The sequence below is a fragment of the Homo sapiens genome, chromosome 2 (assembly GCF_000001405.40).
Source record: "Homo sapiens chromosome 2, GRCh38.p14 Primary Assembly".
Lineage (NCBI taxonomy): Eukaryota > Metazoa > Chordata > Mammalia > Primates > Hominidae > Homo > Homo sapiens.
The window spans coordinates 55,237,957-55,250,077 of NC_000002.12; the positions used below are offsets into that span (position 1 = coordinate 55,237,957).

The 12,121-nt window shown below is 38.9% G+C and overlaps 1 protein-coding gene across 22 annotated transcripts in view; it reads right to left on the bottom strand.

The window, feature by feature from the left end:
* Nucleotides 1–12,121, bottom strand: part of MTIF2 (mitochondrial translational initiation factor 2) — a 32,654-nt gene that overhangs the window by 1,362 nt on the left and 19,171 nt on the right. For all 22 annotated transcript variants that reach the window (XM_047444424.1, XM_047444427.1, XM_047444423.1 and 19 more), the window contains 6 exons: nucleotides 11,439–11,578; nucleotides 8,381–8,505; nucleotides 6,073–6,277; nucleotides 5,460–5,712; nucleotides 4,984–5,124; nucleotides 2,055–2,219 (listed from right to left, as the gene is read on the bottom strand). In XM_047444424.1, the coding sequence (XP_047300380.1) occupies nucleotides 2,055–2,219; nucleotides 4,984–5,124; nucleotides 5,460–5,712; nucleotides 6,073–6,277; nucleotides 8,381–8,505; nucleotides 11,439–11,578 (1,029 nt within the window). The remainder of the gene's footprint in view (nucleotides 1–2,054; nucleotides 2,220–4,983; nucleotides 5,125–5,459; nucleotides 5,713–6,072; nucleotides 6,278–8,380; nucleotides 8,506–11,438; nucleotides 11,579–12,121) is intronic.

The window sequence follows — 12,121 nt, forward strand, 5'->3', positions numbered from 1 at the left end:
GCCTATTCTTGTCTGCTCCATGAAAACCTTGTTTTAAGCTTTCCTTCAATATATTTTCTAGAGTAGATCATCTATCATTACTTTATTTCTCTGTTATTTTTTAAAAAAAATTTTTATAGATGGGTCACCCAGGCTGGAGTGCAGTGGCATGATCATAGCTCACTGTACCCTCAAGCTCCTGGGCTCAAGCAGTTCTTCTAGATAGCTAAGACTACAGGTGCGTGCCACCATGCCCACTAATTTTTTTATTTTTATCTTTCTTGTTGTGGAGGCTGGTCTTGAATTCGTGGCCTCAAGCGATGCTCCTACCTCAGCCTCCCAAAGTCCTCGGATGACACGCTTGAGCCACTGCACCTGACCTCATTATTTTTCATTTTGCCACAGGTAATTTATATCTACTTAGAAGTACTAATTCTACTAATTCTGAGCCTGGTTTTTTTTTTTTTTTTTTGAGATGGAGTTTCGCTCTTGTTGCCCAGGCTGGAGTGCAATGGCGCGATCTTGGCTCACCAGCAAACTCCGCCTCCTGGGTTCAAGCGATTCTCCTGCCTCAGCCTCCCAAGTAGCTGGGATTACAGGAATGCGCCACCACGCCTGGCTAATTTTGTATTTTTAGTAAAGACGGGGTTTCACCATGTTGGTCAGACTGGTCTTGAACTCCCATCCTCAGGTGATCCGCCCGCCTCGACCTCCCAAAGTGCTGGGATTACAGGCATGAGCCACCATGCCCGGCCGAGTCTGTTTTTTTTCACTGACTAAAAATACAAATTCCAATAATGAAGTAACAGGCACTATAATGAACCAATTTTCTAGGGTGCTATTTTACTACTGTTATTTGTTAGTGTTATCTGACTGGTGTCTTTGCTTAATCCTAGAAACCCTCATGACTCAGTTTTCCACATTGCTCTTAGCACAAGAACATAAAAATCTCTGTACGATCATGTTGAGCAGGTCAGAAAAACCTAAAATAATAAATCTGTTATGTAGACCAAAAATGCAAAATCAAATCTCATCATGGGGAAACACTGGACAAATCCAAATCAAGGTACATTCTACAAAATAGCTGTCCAATATGCTTCAAAAATGTCAAGGTCAAAAACAAAAATTGAAGAACTGTTCCAGATTAAATGGAGCTAGAGAGATATGACAACATGGATATATTATAATCCATGATCCTGGACTGGGGAAAAAAAGTATACTGTTGGGACAACGGACAAAATGTGAATATGGACTGTGTATTAGATAAGAGCATTGTACAAATAAGTGTTAAATTTCCTGAGTTTGATTAGTTCTGTAGTTTTATAAGATAGTATCCTTTTGCTTAGCAGATGTACATATTTAGAGGCAAATGGGCACTATATCTCAAACATTTTCAAATGGTCCAGGGAAAAAACATCACGTGTGCATGGAGCAGGACAAAAATGAGGCAAATAGGACAAAATGTAAACAACTGGTGAATTAGGTAAAAGATATATAGGAGTTCCTGGTTTTTCTCTTGCAATTTTTCTGGAAATTTAAAACTATTATCAAAATTAAAAGTTAATAAAAAAACACAAAATCTACGTGGGGAGGAAAAAAAACAGATGAGGTGATTTAATCAATTTTAAATATACTCAGTCTTTACTCTGGCTATGATATATGCTAGAAACAATATTTTTAAATATTTAATATTTAAATGTAAATTTTCTTCTTATGGTAGACTTCTCTGCCAGCCCCACAACAAAGTCAACAGCTCTTTCCATGACACTGTTAATAATCTTTATGCGTTCAATAGTAGTGTAATTTGTATTATAATTATTTGTTCATATTTAAACTGGAGGGCAAGTTCCTAATTCCTTATTTGCTTTTGTATCATCAAGGCACAGGCACAATGTGTTACACAGGGCAGGTGTTTACATAAGAAGTTACAATGGATTCTCATGGTAGTCATTTTTTTCTAGAACACAGGATATATCTTTCAACATTGAAAACGTTTCCTCTAAGCTTTGCTTTGAAGTGCTATTTATAGCACCTAATATACTAATTTTTAAAAGTAACATTCAGTGATCACTCACCTACTGGGTGCTCTTCCACAGCACAGGGTAATCTGCTGCTCAGTTCCTCTTGCAAATCTTCAACAAGACGGTAAATTATTTTGTGAAGTTTAATTTTTACTCCTTTTTTTGCAGCTGACTGTTGGATAACATTGCCTGCATTCACATTAAAGCCATATATAACACCTAGCAAACAGAAATATGATCAATGAAGTAGCACAACGATTACATTATAATCATTTATTTGTCTTTCAAGCAGAAACTTGAATCTAAATTGTTTTATTTTCTAAATTAAAATAGCAAATAAGAGGCCAGGTGCAGTGGCTCACGCCTGTAATCCCATCACTTTGGGAAGCTGAGGCAGGTGGATCGCCTGAGGTCAGGAGTTCAAGACCAGCCTGGCCAACATGGTGAAACCCTGTCTCTACTAAAAATACAAAATTAGCCGGGCGTGGTGGTGGCACCTGTAATTCCAGCTACTCAGGAGGCCGAGACAGGAGAATCGCTTGAACCCGGGAGGCGGAGGTTGCAGTGAGCTGAGATCGCGCCACTGCACTCCAGCCTGGGCAAATAGAGCAAAACTCCATCTCAAAAAAAAATAGCAATTAGAGGAGGTTAGAAGGTCTATGACTTTTTTTCTCACCAAAACTAGTACGTTTTCCAATTGATGAAAGAATTTTATAAACTGTATTGTGGCTTGTTTAACAAAGAAAATTTCTTTATAATTTTAAACCCATTCATTTAAGGAACATTAAGTGCCTATAACGTGTAAAGCAGTATGCTAAACAAAATTTGATTTTCATACCAGAGAAATAAAAACACAAAAAATGACCAGGGCTAAAATACTATTCCTTCATTTTAATAACAATTACATTATTAAATTATAATCTTATTGTCTACAATTTTTGTGGTTTGCACTTAGGTATTCAGATGGCCAAAAGATGCCCAAAAATAGTGACTTAAAGGGGTGGATGGAAAAATAGTGACTTAATTGGTAAAGGTCAAGAGTTATTTTTAAGAAGCAAGTTTCATGGAGCTGACCATTTTACCAACAAACAAATAATATATTTAACTGTAAATACTTTGGGAGAAAAAAAAAAGCAAAACACTCTTGTCTTAAACAAAATGAATGAAAAAAATTAACCTGGACGGGCACGGTGGCTCACGCCTGTAATCCCAGCACTTTGGGAGGCCGAGGTGGGTGGATCACCTGAGGTTGGGAGTTCAAGACCAGCTTGACCAACATGGTGACACCCTGTCTCTACTAAAAATACAAAAATTAGCCAGGCATGGTGGCAGACACCTATAATCCCAGCTACTCAGGAAACTAAGGCAGGAACATCTCTTGAACCCAGGAGGTGGTGGGTGCGGTGAGCCAAGATTACGCCACTGCACTCCAGCCTGGGCGACAGAGCAAGACTCTGTCTCAAAAAAAAAAAAACCAACCCAAAAAGAAAAAAAAGCAAAACACTCTTGTCTTAAACAAAATGAATGAAAAAAATTAACCCAAACAGTTTAATCAGGAGAAAAACACAATCACCTTGAAAGTCCTATCATTAAGAAGCCATTCAGGCCGGGTGCAGTGGCTCACGCCTGTAATCCCAGGACTTTGGGAGGCCGAGGTGGGTGGATCACGTGAGGTCAGGAGTTTGAGACCAAACTGGCCAACATGATGAAACCTTATCTATGCTAAAAATATAAGAATTAGCCAGGTGTGGTCGTGGGTGCCTATAATCCCAGCTACTCGGGAAGCTGGGGCAGGAGAATCGCTTGAACCCAGGAGGGAGAGGTGGCAATGAGCCAAGATTGCGCCATTGTACTCCAGCCTGGTTGACAAAAGCAAAACTCCGTCTCAAGAAAAAGAAGTCATTCAATTGGCTAGGCACAACGGCTCATGCCTGTAATTCCAGCACTTTGGGAGGCCAAAACAGGTAGACCACCTAGGTCAGGGGTTCAAGACCAGCCTGGCCAACATGGTGAAACCCTGTCTCTACTAAAAATACAAAATTAGCCAGGCATGGTGGTGCACGCCTATAATCCCAGCTACTCGGTGGGGGCTGTGGCAGGAGAATCCCTTGGGAGGCAGAGGTTGCAGTGAGCCGAGACCGTGCCACTGCACTCCAGCCTGGGCAAAAGAGTGAGGCTCTGTCTCCAAAAAAAAAAAAAAGAAAAAAAAAAGTCATTTCAATATCTTTCAATACACTATCTGTATTACAGCACAGTGCTAAGCCAGTCAGTGCCTACCAAATACTTTTAATTAATCAGTTAGATGTTACCTCTATCCTTTTCAGTAGTAGAGGTGATATCTAACTCTAATCAAGTCAGGTTTCAAAGCATCTCTTTCCTAAATGATTCCTAATCACTCAACAAATGTTTTTGCTTTACTAGGTGTTCGACTTTATTTAACAGTCATGAGTCCCCCTTTTTGTGTATCATAAATTCAACTAATAAAGACAGTTCCCTGCCTTCTAGGCTTATAAAGCTAAAAAGAACTTTTGCTGTAAAAAGATACGATGTATAAAGTTATCAATTACCAAAGATAGGCAGCCAAAAGTAAAAGATGAAGGAAAGAACTGAATAGGGTGATTACAGTGTTAGGAACATTCAGAAGTCTGATGAAAGATATGAGAAATCAACCTTGGGATAGTAAAGAACCAGGAGGAGTAGGGAGAGGGGGCAGTAATGGTGCTTTTAAAAAAAAAAGATAAACGTGACCAGGTCTTGAAATAGTTCCCCAAAACTGCAGTACAACCACAACAAATGGAGCTATAGCCACAATACTGCACATCCTATTAAGTTTCAATTGCTAGCTGGGACTGGACTATAGCAGGAAGGGTGATGCTGATAGCAGTAAATGTCAGGTGTGACAAGCCAAGCAACAAAAGACAGAAGCAGATGGTTCAGTGTTATTTGGGGAACACAGATTAACAAGAAGAAATGGAATCCTTACCATCAAATGTTTCAGCAAGGTTAACATCATTTGCACTTACATCACCCACTCCAAAATGTACTAATTCTAGTTCACACTCGTGTGAAGCATCATAGGTATCTATAATGTTCAAAATGGCCTCAACAGAACCATCAACATCACCTAAATACAGAAAAAGTTTATAATTGTTGCTTTTAAGAGTTAGACATCAGCAGACATAAAAATGACAATAATCTATTTAAAGCCATGATAGGAATGTCATTTATCACTAAATCCACTTTTATTTAGGCTTAGCATTACACATATCTACTTGACTTAATAGCATATAATGAGCCAAACGTACATTTACAACAAAATCAGCAAGAAATATGTTGACTAAGAAAAACTCTCCTAAAATATTGAAATAATTTTCATGTAAATGTAAAGGCCCAAACTATGAGAATAAAAAAACATATATTCAAAGAATGAACTGTAATGTAAAATCTTTAAAAAGATACCTTTAATAATCACAGAAAGTACATTTGAATCTCTTTCCCTTTTCTCTTTTGGCTTTAAGGGTATTTGTTCTTTTCTTTCTAAAAACCGTAGAATTGATCTCTTCTTCCACAGTAGATGGCCATACTTCTCACGGGCTTTCTGATGTGCTTCTTTGTGTTCCTTTCGCTTTTCTTCTATTATTTTCAGATCCTCCTGACCTTTCTCCTGTTCTTGTTCATATTTCCTCCAGTCAACAACTTCACGTGCCCTTGGCTTTATAGGGGAAAAACGTATTATTTAATGAAATAGACATCAATAACTGCTAGATTAAAGCCTTTGTGTTGTCCTGCATTAGGAAATTAGCTTAACTCATGTATGAAACTACTACTTTTATAAGTTTCAAGAAACATGTAAAATTTTAATTTGAGAGCTTGTATAATTGAAATGATTTAAAAATCTTATCCCCACCCCCAAAATTCTATAGTCTAATGCTAAAATAGCACAACTTGCATCCTCACAGCCCCTTATAATCTAGATTTGTTAACATTAATACACATATTTGGTATAACATTGTAAACTGGCATTTAAAATCATTATATTATATCTAATATATAGGAATTAAGCTTGATACACCTCAGATTCTACTTCAAGAATTTCTTCTCCTGCAGAAGGAAGGTCTCTCCAGCCTGTAATTCCCACTGGCATGCTGGGATAGGCCTCATCAATTGTTTTTCCATTTTCATCAAACATTAAGCGTACTTTTGCCCAACATTTTCCAGCAACCAGAACAGAGCCTTTTCTTAAAGTTCCTCTTTGAATTATAGCTGTAGTAACAAGACTAAAATGAAAATAAAAGTATATTTTCAATGTCATAATGTACTTTAAGTAGAGCAAAGATATCTTTATGAAGTTTAAGTTATATAAACATGTGTATACACAAGATTAATTCCACCACTTCTTAACTTAAGCAGTTTTTCATACTATAAAAACATTTCAAAGCTGGGTGCAGTGGCACATCTGCAATCCCAGCTATTCAGCAGGCTAAGGCAAGAGGATCACCTGAGCCCAGGAGTTCAAAGTCAGCCTATCAAGACCATTTTAAACAAATTTATTTGCGATAGCCAAGAAGTAGAAGCAACTCAAATGTCCATCAAAAGACAAATGGACATTTCTTCCAAAGAAAATGTGGATTTTACATACAAAGGAATATTATACAGTCTTTAAAAAGAAGGAAATTGGCCAGGTGTGGTGGCTCACGGCTGTAATCCCAGCACTTTTGAAGGCCAAGGTGGGTGGATTGCTTGAGCTCACGAGTTTGAGACCAGCTAGGGCAACATAGCAGGACCCTATCTCAATTAAAAAAAAAATAGGCTAGGCACAGTGGCTCACACCTGTAATCCCAGTACTTTGGGAGGCCGAGGCAGGTAGATCACCTGAGGTCAGTAGTTCAAGACCAGCCTGGCCAACATGGTGAAACCCCATCTATACTAAAAATACAAAAATTAGCTGAGTGTGGTGGCACGCGCCTACAGTCCCAGCTACTCGGGAGGCTGAGGCAGGAGAATCACTTGAACCTGGGAGGCAGAGGTTGCAGTGAGCCGAGATCACACCACTGCATTCCAGCCTGGGTGACAGAGTGAGACTGCAACTCAAAAAAAGAAAAATTAAAAAATAAATAAATATTAAATTGTTTAAAAAAAGGAAATCTTTTCACAGGCTACAACATGAATGAAACTCTAGAACATTATACAAAATGAAATAAGCCAGTTACAAATGGACACATACTGTATGATTCCACTCATATGAAGTATCTAAAGTAGGCACAAAATTGAAACACAAAACAGTGCCAGGTGTAGTGGCTCACGCCTGTAATCCCAGCACTTTGGGAGGCTGAGGCGGTTGGATCACCTGAGGTCAGGAGTTTGAGACCGGCCTGGTCAACATGGTGAAAATCCTGTCTCTAAAAAAATACAAAAATTAGCCAGGCATGGTGGTGGGTGCCTGTAAATCCCAGCTACTTGGGAGACTGAGGCGGAAGAATTGCTTGAACCCAGGGATTGGAGGTTGCAGTGAGCTGAGATCGTGGCCACTTCACTCCAGCCTGGGCAACAAGAGCAAAAGTCCGTCTCAAAAAGAAAGAAAGAAATAAAGGAAAAGCAGAAAACAGAAAGGTGGTTGCCAAGGGCTCAGGAGAGGGACAAGGGTAATTTTAAAAGGTACAGAGTTTCAGTTTCACAAGATAAAATAGTTCAACACGTCTGTTGCACAACAATGTGAATAAACTACAATACTGAACTGTATATTTAAATATGGTTAACATAATAAATGGGATGTTAGGTGTTTCTTACCATAATTTAAAAAAAAAATAATTTCTTATAAGGTTATGCTAAGCGAAGAAGCAGGGAGCAAAGTGTTCTGACAGAATCTTAACCCACTTTCTATCCCAGTCTCCATCAGCTAAGGGATTACTCAGTTGTTAGAGAGTGTAAAGCAATGAGAAAACCTCTCTTGCTGATACAGAGGAAAATTCAAGCACACCACTTCAAAGACCTTTCTGCGTATTATATTAATGGGTAAAGTATAAAGAATTCACAAACCCTAAAATGCAACCATTGGTATTTCATTCTAATTTATGTTATCTATAAGACTTTACCAATTCAGTCGAGTCAGTGAGGGAAAAAAAATAAAACAAATTGAACTACTTATGTCACCTAAATATGACTAGTAGATGTACATGGATAGCTGCTATGGTCTACTGATAATAACTGCATTTTTGTGTTCTTGTATTAGTACAAACAATAAAATACTTTTTAAAACAAATGCTTTGAAAATATTGTTCATGAACTAACAATAACATGTAACAAAAATAATACATTGTCATATAATCAAGTCACGAAAACCACAGAACAAATTAAAAAGGCAAGCATTTTAAGAGTCCTACCCTCTTCCTTTGTCTGTGAAAGACTCTATTACTGTTCCTTCCACTGGACCATTGGGATCTGCTTTCAATTCTAACATTTCTGCAAGAGCAACTGTTGCTTCTGCCAAAGCCATCAGATTATCGCCCTTTAACAATAACAAACGTTGTTAATACACATTAATAAATATTATCTGTAAATGTAAATGCCAGGGACAGAAAGTCACATAATACTTGCAAGTTATATTATACTTTTCTCTTTAATCATTGAAAGCATGATTACTCAATTTAACAAAGAAAGGGAGGGAGGGGAAACAAAAATAAGAAAAAAGACAATGGGAAGAATGGAAGGGAGGGAGGGATCAGCAAGAAAACCTGAGCCATGGACAGATCTTGCAAGGAACAAGTGGCTATTTTTTTTAAAGGATGACCACTGGTGGGCTTGTTACTATCCCTTTCATAAACACATGCAATGCTTCATTCATTTTCTTTCTCCTCCGTCTGTCCCTACAGTTGTGTTTCCTTCCTCTTGCTTTCTTTTTTTGTTTAAGTTCTATCCAACTGAACGAGATTTCACATCTATTATTTCATTTGATCAACTCAAGAATCCTACAAAGCATATCAAGCATGACTTACCCTTATTAAATAAATGAGGAGAAAAAGCACTAACTAGAGATCTAGGCTCTAAGCTGTGCTTTATAACCACCCAGCTGTGCAGCCTTTAAAAAAAAAATCACCTCACTTCCCTGGATCTCCTTACCTCAACCATAAAATGAAGAAGCTGGAGTGGGTGATTCTTTTACCTTTCATGGTCTATGTTTACTGTGCTCTCTAGGGCTCCAAGATCACACAGCTGATTAACTGGTGATGGAAATGGAACTGATAGGCAAGGTATTTTTCCACTCCTCTTATCAGCTAAGAGATTGCTCACAGTTGTTACAAAGTATAAAACAACAGACAAGGGCCGGGCACGGTGGCTCATGCCTGTAATCCCAGCACTTTGGGAAGCTGAGACGGGCGGATCACTTGAGGTTAGGAGTTCAAGACCAGCCAACATGGTGAAACCACATCTCTACTAAAAATACAAAAAATTAGTCAGGTGTGGTGGCACGTGCCTGTAATCCCAGCTACTCAGGAGGCTGAGACAGGAAAATCACTTGAACCCAGAGGCAGAGGTTGCAGTGAGCCAAGATCATGCCACTGCTCTCCAGCCTGAGACACAGAGCAAGACTTCATTTCAAAAAACAAAAAATAAAACAATAGACAACTGTAAAACAAAACAAAACAAAACAAAAAAATTGACTAAATACTTTGCTTACCCACCCACTTATTCCTAGTATTTATTCCAATTTACAAAATGCTGCCCCAAAAAGCAGAACTAGAGTTGTTTCCTTGCATGAAATAATCCTTTATATATCTTGGAAAAGAAGGCCTCATCTTACCTCCCTGCCACTCTCTTCCAATCCCCTCCCTTCCCTTGGAATCATCTCTGACACGCCTCCAAATCTGCCTAAGCAGCTTTACATCTACCTACTCATCTGATGGTATCTGGCCAGAAAAGGTGGTCAACTCTTCAAATATTTTAATTTTTTTTTTTAGACAAGGTCTCACTCTGTTATCAAGGCTGGAGTGCAGTGGCATCATCTCAGCTCGCTGCAACCTCTGCCTCCCTGGCTCAAGTGGTCCTCCAGTCTTAGCCTCCCCAATAGCTAGGACGACAGGCACATGCCACCAAGCCAGGCTAATTTTTGTGTTTTTATAGAGACAAGGTCTCATCATGTTGCCCAGGCTGGTCTTGAACTCCTGCCTCAATGGATCTGACCACCTCGGCCTCCCAAAGTGCTAGGCTTACAGGCATAAGTCACTGCGCCTGGCCAAATACTTTAATCTTATTTTAGTAAGCCTAACATTTGGCTTTCAGAGTGCAATAACAATTGAGGGATAGTGCAGAAGATAACAAAGTAAGGTAGCATTTTATAAATTTCAGAGAAAAAGATGCACAGTTTTACTATTAATGGACGCATAATTTCTAACTATCTTGGAGGTAACACATTTAGGAAAAGTAAAGATGAAGTGAGATTTAATTGGAGGAAGGTGGTAGAGTAACCCACCATCCCTTCAGTGAATGATCAGGAGAAAAAAAAGGCTATATTATAAATAAACTTTGTAATATAATAAGGACGGACAAAAAAGGAAATTGTCACTTAGCAGCAACCTCTATAGGGTAAGAGAATTGGAAAACACTTATAAGAGGCAAGCACTGAGTTTCCTTGGTGTTTATATTCAAGAAAGAATAGATGGTAATCTTAAAGAAAATGGAATTCATTATAAATAACATTTTAAAACATGTAGCAATTTAATCCACAAAAACATTCAGTCAATCAATAACAAAATCAACCTTAATATTTAATCTTGGTATTCATGAACTTTTTGTTTAAATCTCTTAAATGCTGTAAGACCTGTTTTCCACTTGTAAGAGGCATGAAATATAAGCACTTTTTTGTTAACAACTGGATTTCATTTCTGCTTAAGACAGTCTTTGGTCAGGCATGGTGGCTCACACTTGTAATCTCGGTGCTTTGGGAGGCCAAGGTGGGACAATGGCTTGAGGCCAGGTGTTCAAGACCAGCCTAAGCAACACAGTGAGACCCTATGTCTACAAAAAAATTTAAAAATTAGCTAGGCATGGGGTGGCACCTGCCTGTAGCCCCAACTACTCAAGAGGCTGAGGTGGGAGGACAACTTGAGCTTTGGAGGTCAAGGCTGCACTGAGCTGTGATGGCACCACGTCTTTGTCCTACTATTTCCCTTATTCACCATTTATTCTCATCCTAAGTATCTCATAATAAAAAATATATTCCATTTAGACTTGACTCCACACTGATTAGCTGGTGACTGACCTCTCTGAGCCTAACTCCTAACATGCCAAACCAAGATAATACCATCTTTGCCTGGCACCAAGAAAACTTTTTAAAAACAACACAAATTATGTACATCAAAATGTTCTTTAGATGTAATATACTGTGTGCATTATGTACAGCATTCCCATCCAGGCATATTTATATGAGGTCCCCGCATTTACCGTAAGTGCGGAGACAGGCACTGCTTGAACATCACCTCCATAATCTTCACATACCACATCGTAAGCCAGCAGCTCTTTTTTCACTTTCTCAGGATCAGCCTCAGCTTTGTCACATTTATTTACGGCAAGGATAATAGGAACTGAAAGAAATGGAGTTAAAAAGAGTGAAAATGATGACACCTTCAATTCCAGGTATTCACAGTGAAAGACATCAACTTTCTGTTCTGGTTTTCTCTTTATTCAGTGGATGTTTTTATCTAACAAAAGGCCAAAATGACCCACTTTAGAGTCACATCACCCTACTCTGCGCTCTACATATAGAGAAATCCAGATGCAAGATGTTAAAAGTATAATTATAAGCAGATTCTGAGTGAATAACAGACACCTGAGATTATCAAAAAAAACAATACAGTCGGGCTGGGTGCGGTGGCTCATGCCTGTAATCCTAGCACTTTGGGAAGCTGAGGCGGGTGGATCACCTGAGGTCAGGAGTTTGAGATCAGCCTGGCCAACATGGAGAAATCCCGTCTCTACTAAAAAATACAAAAATTAGCCGGGCGTGGTGGCATGCACCTGTAATCCCAGCTACTTGGGAGCCTGAGGCAGGAGAATCGCTTGAACCAGGAAGGCAGAGCTTGCAGTGAGCTGAAATCGTGTCACTGCACTCCAGCATGGGCAACAGA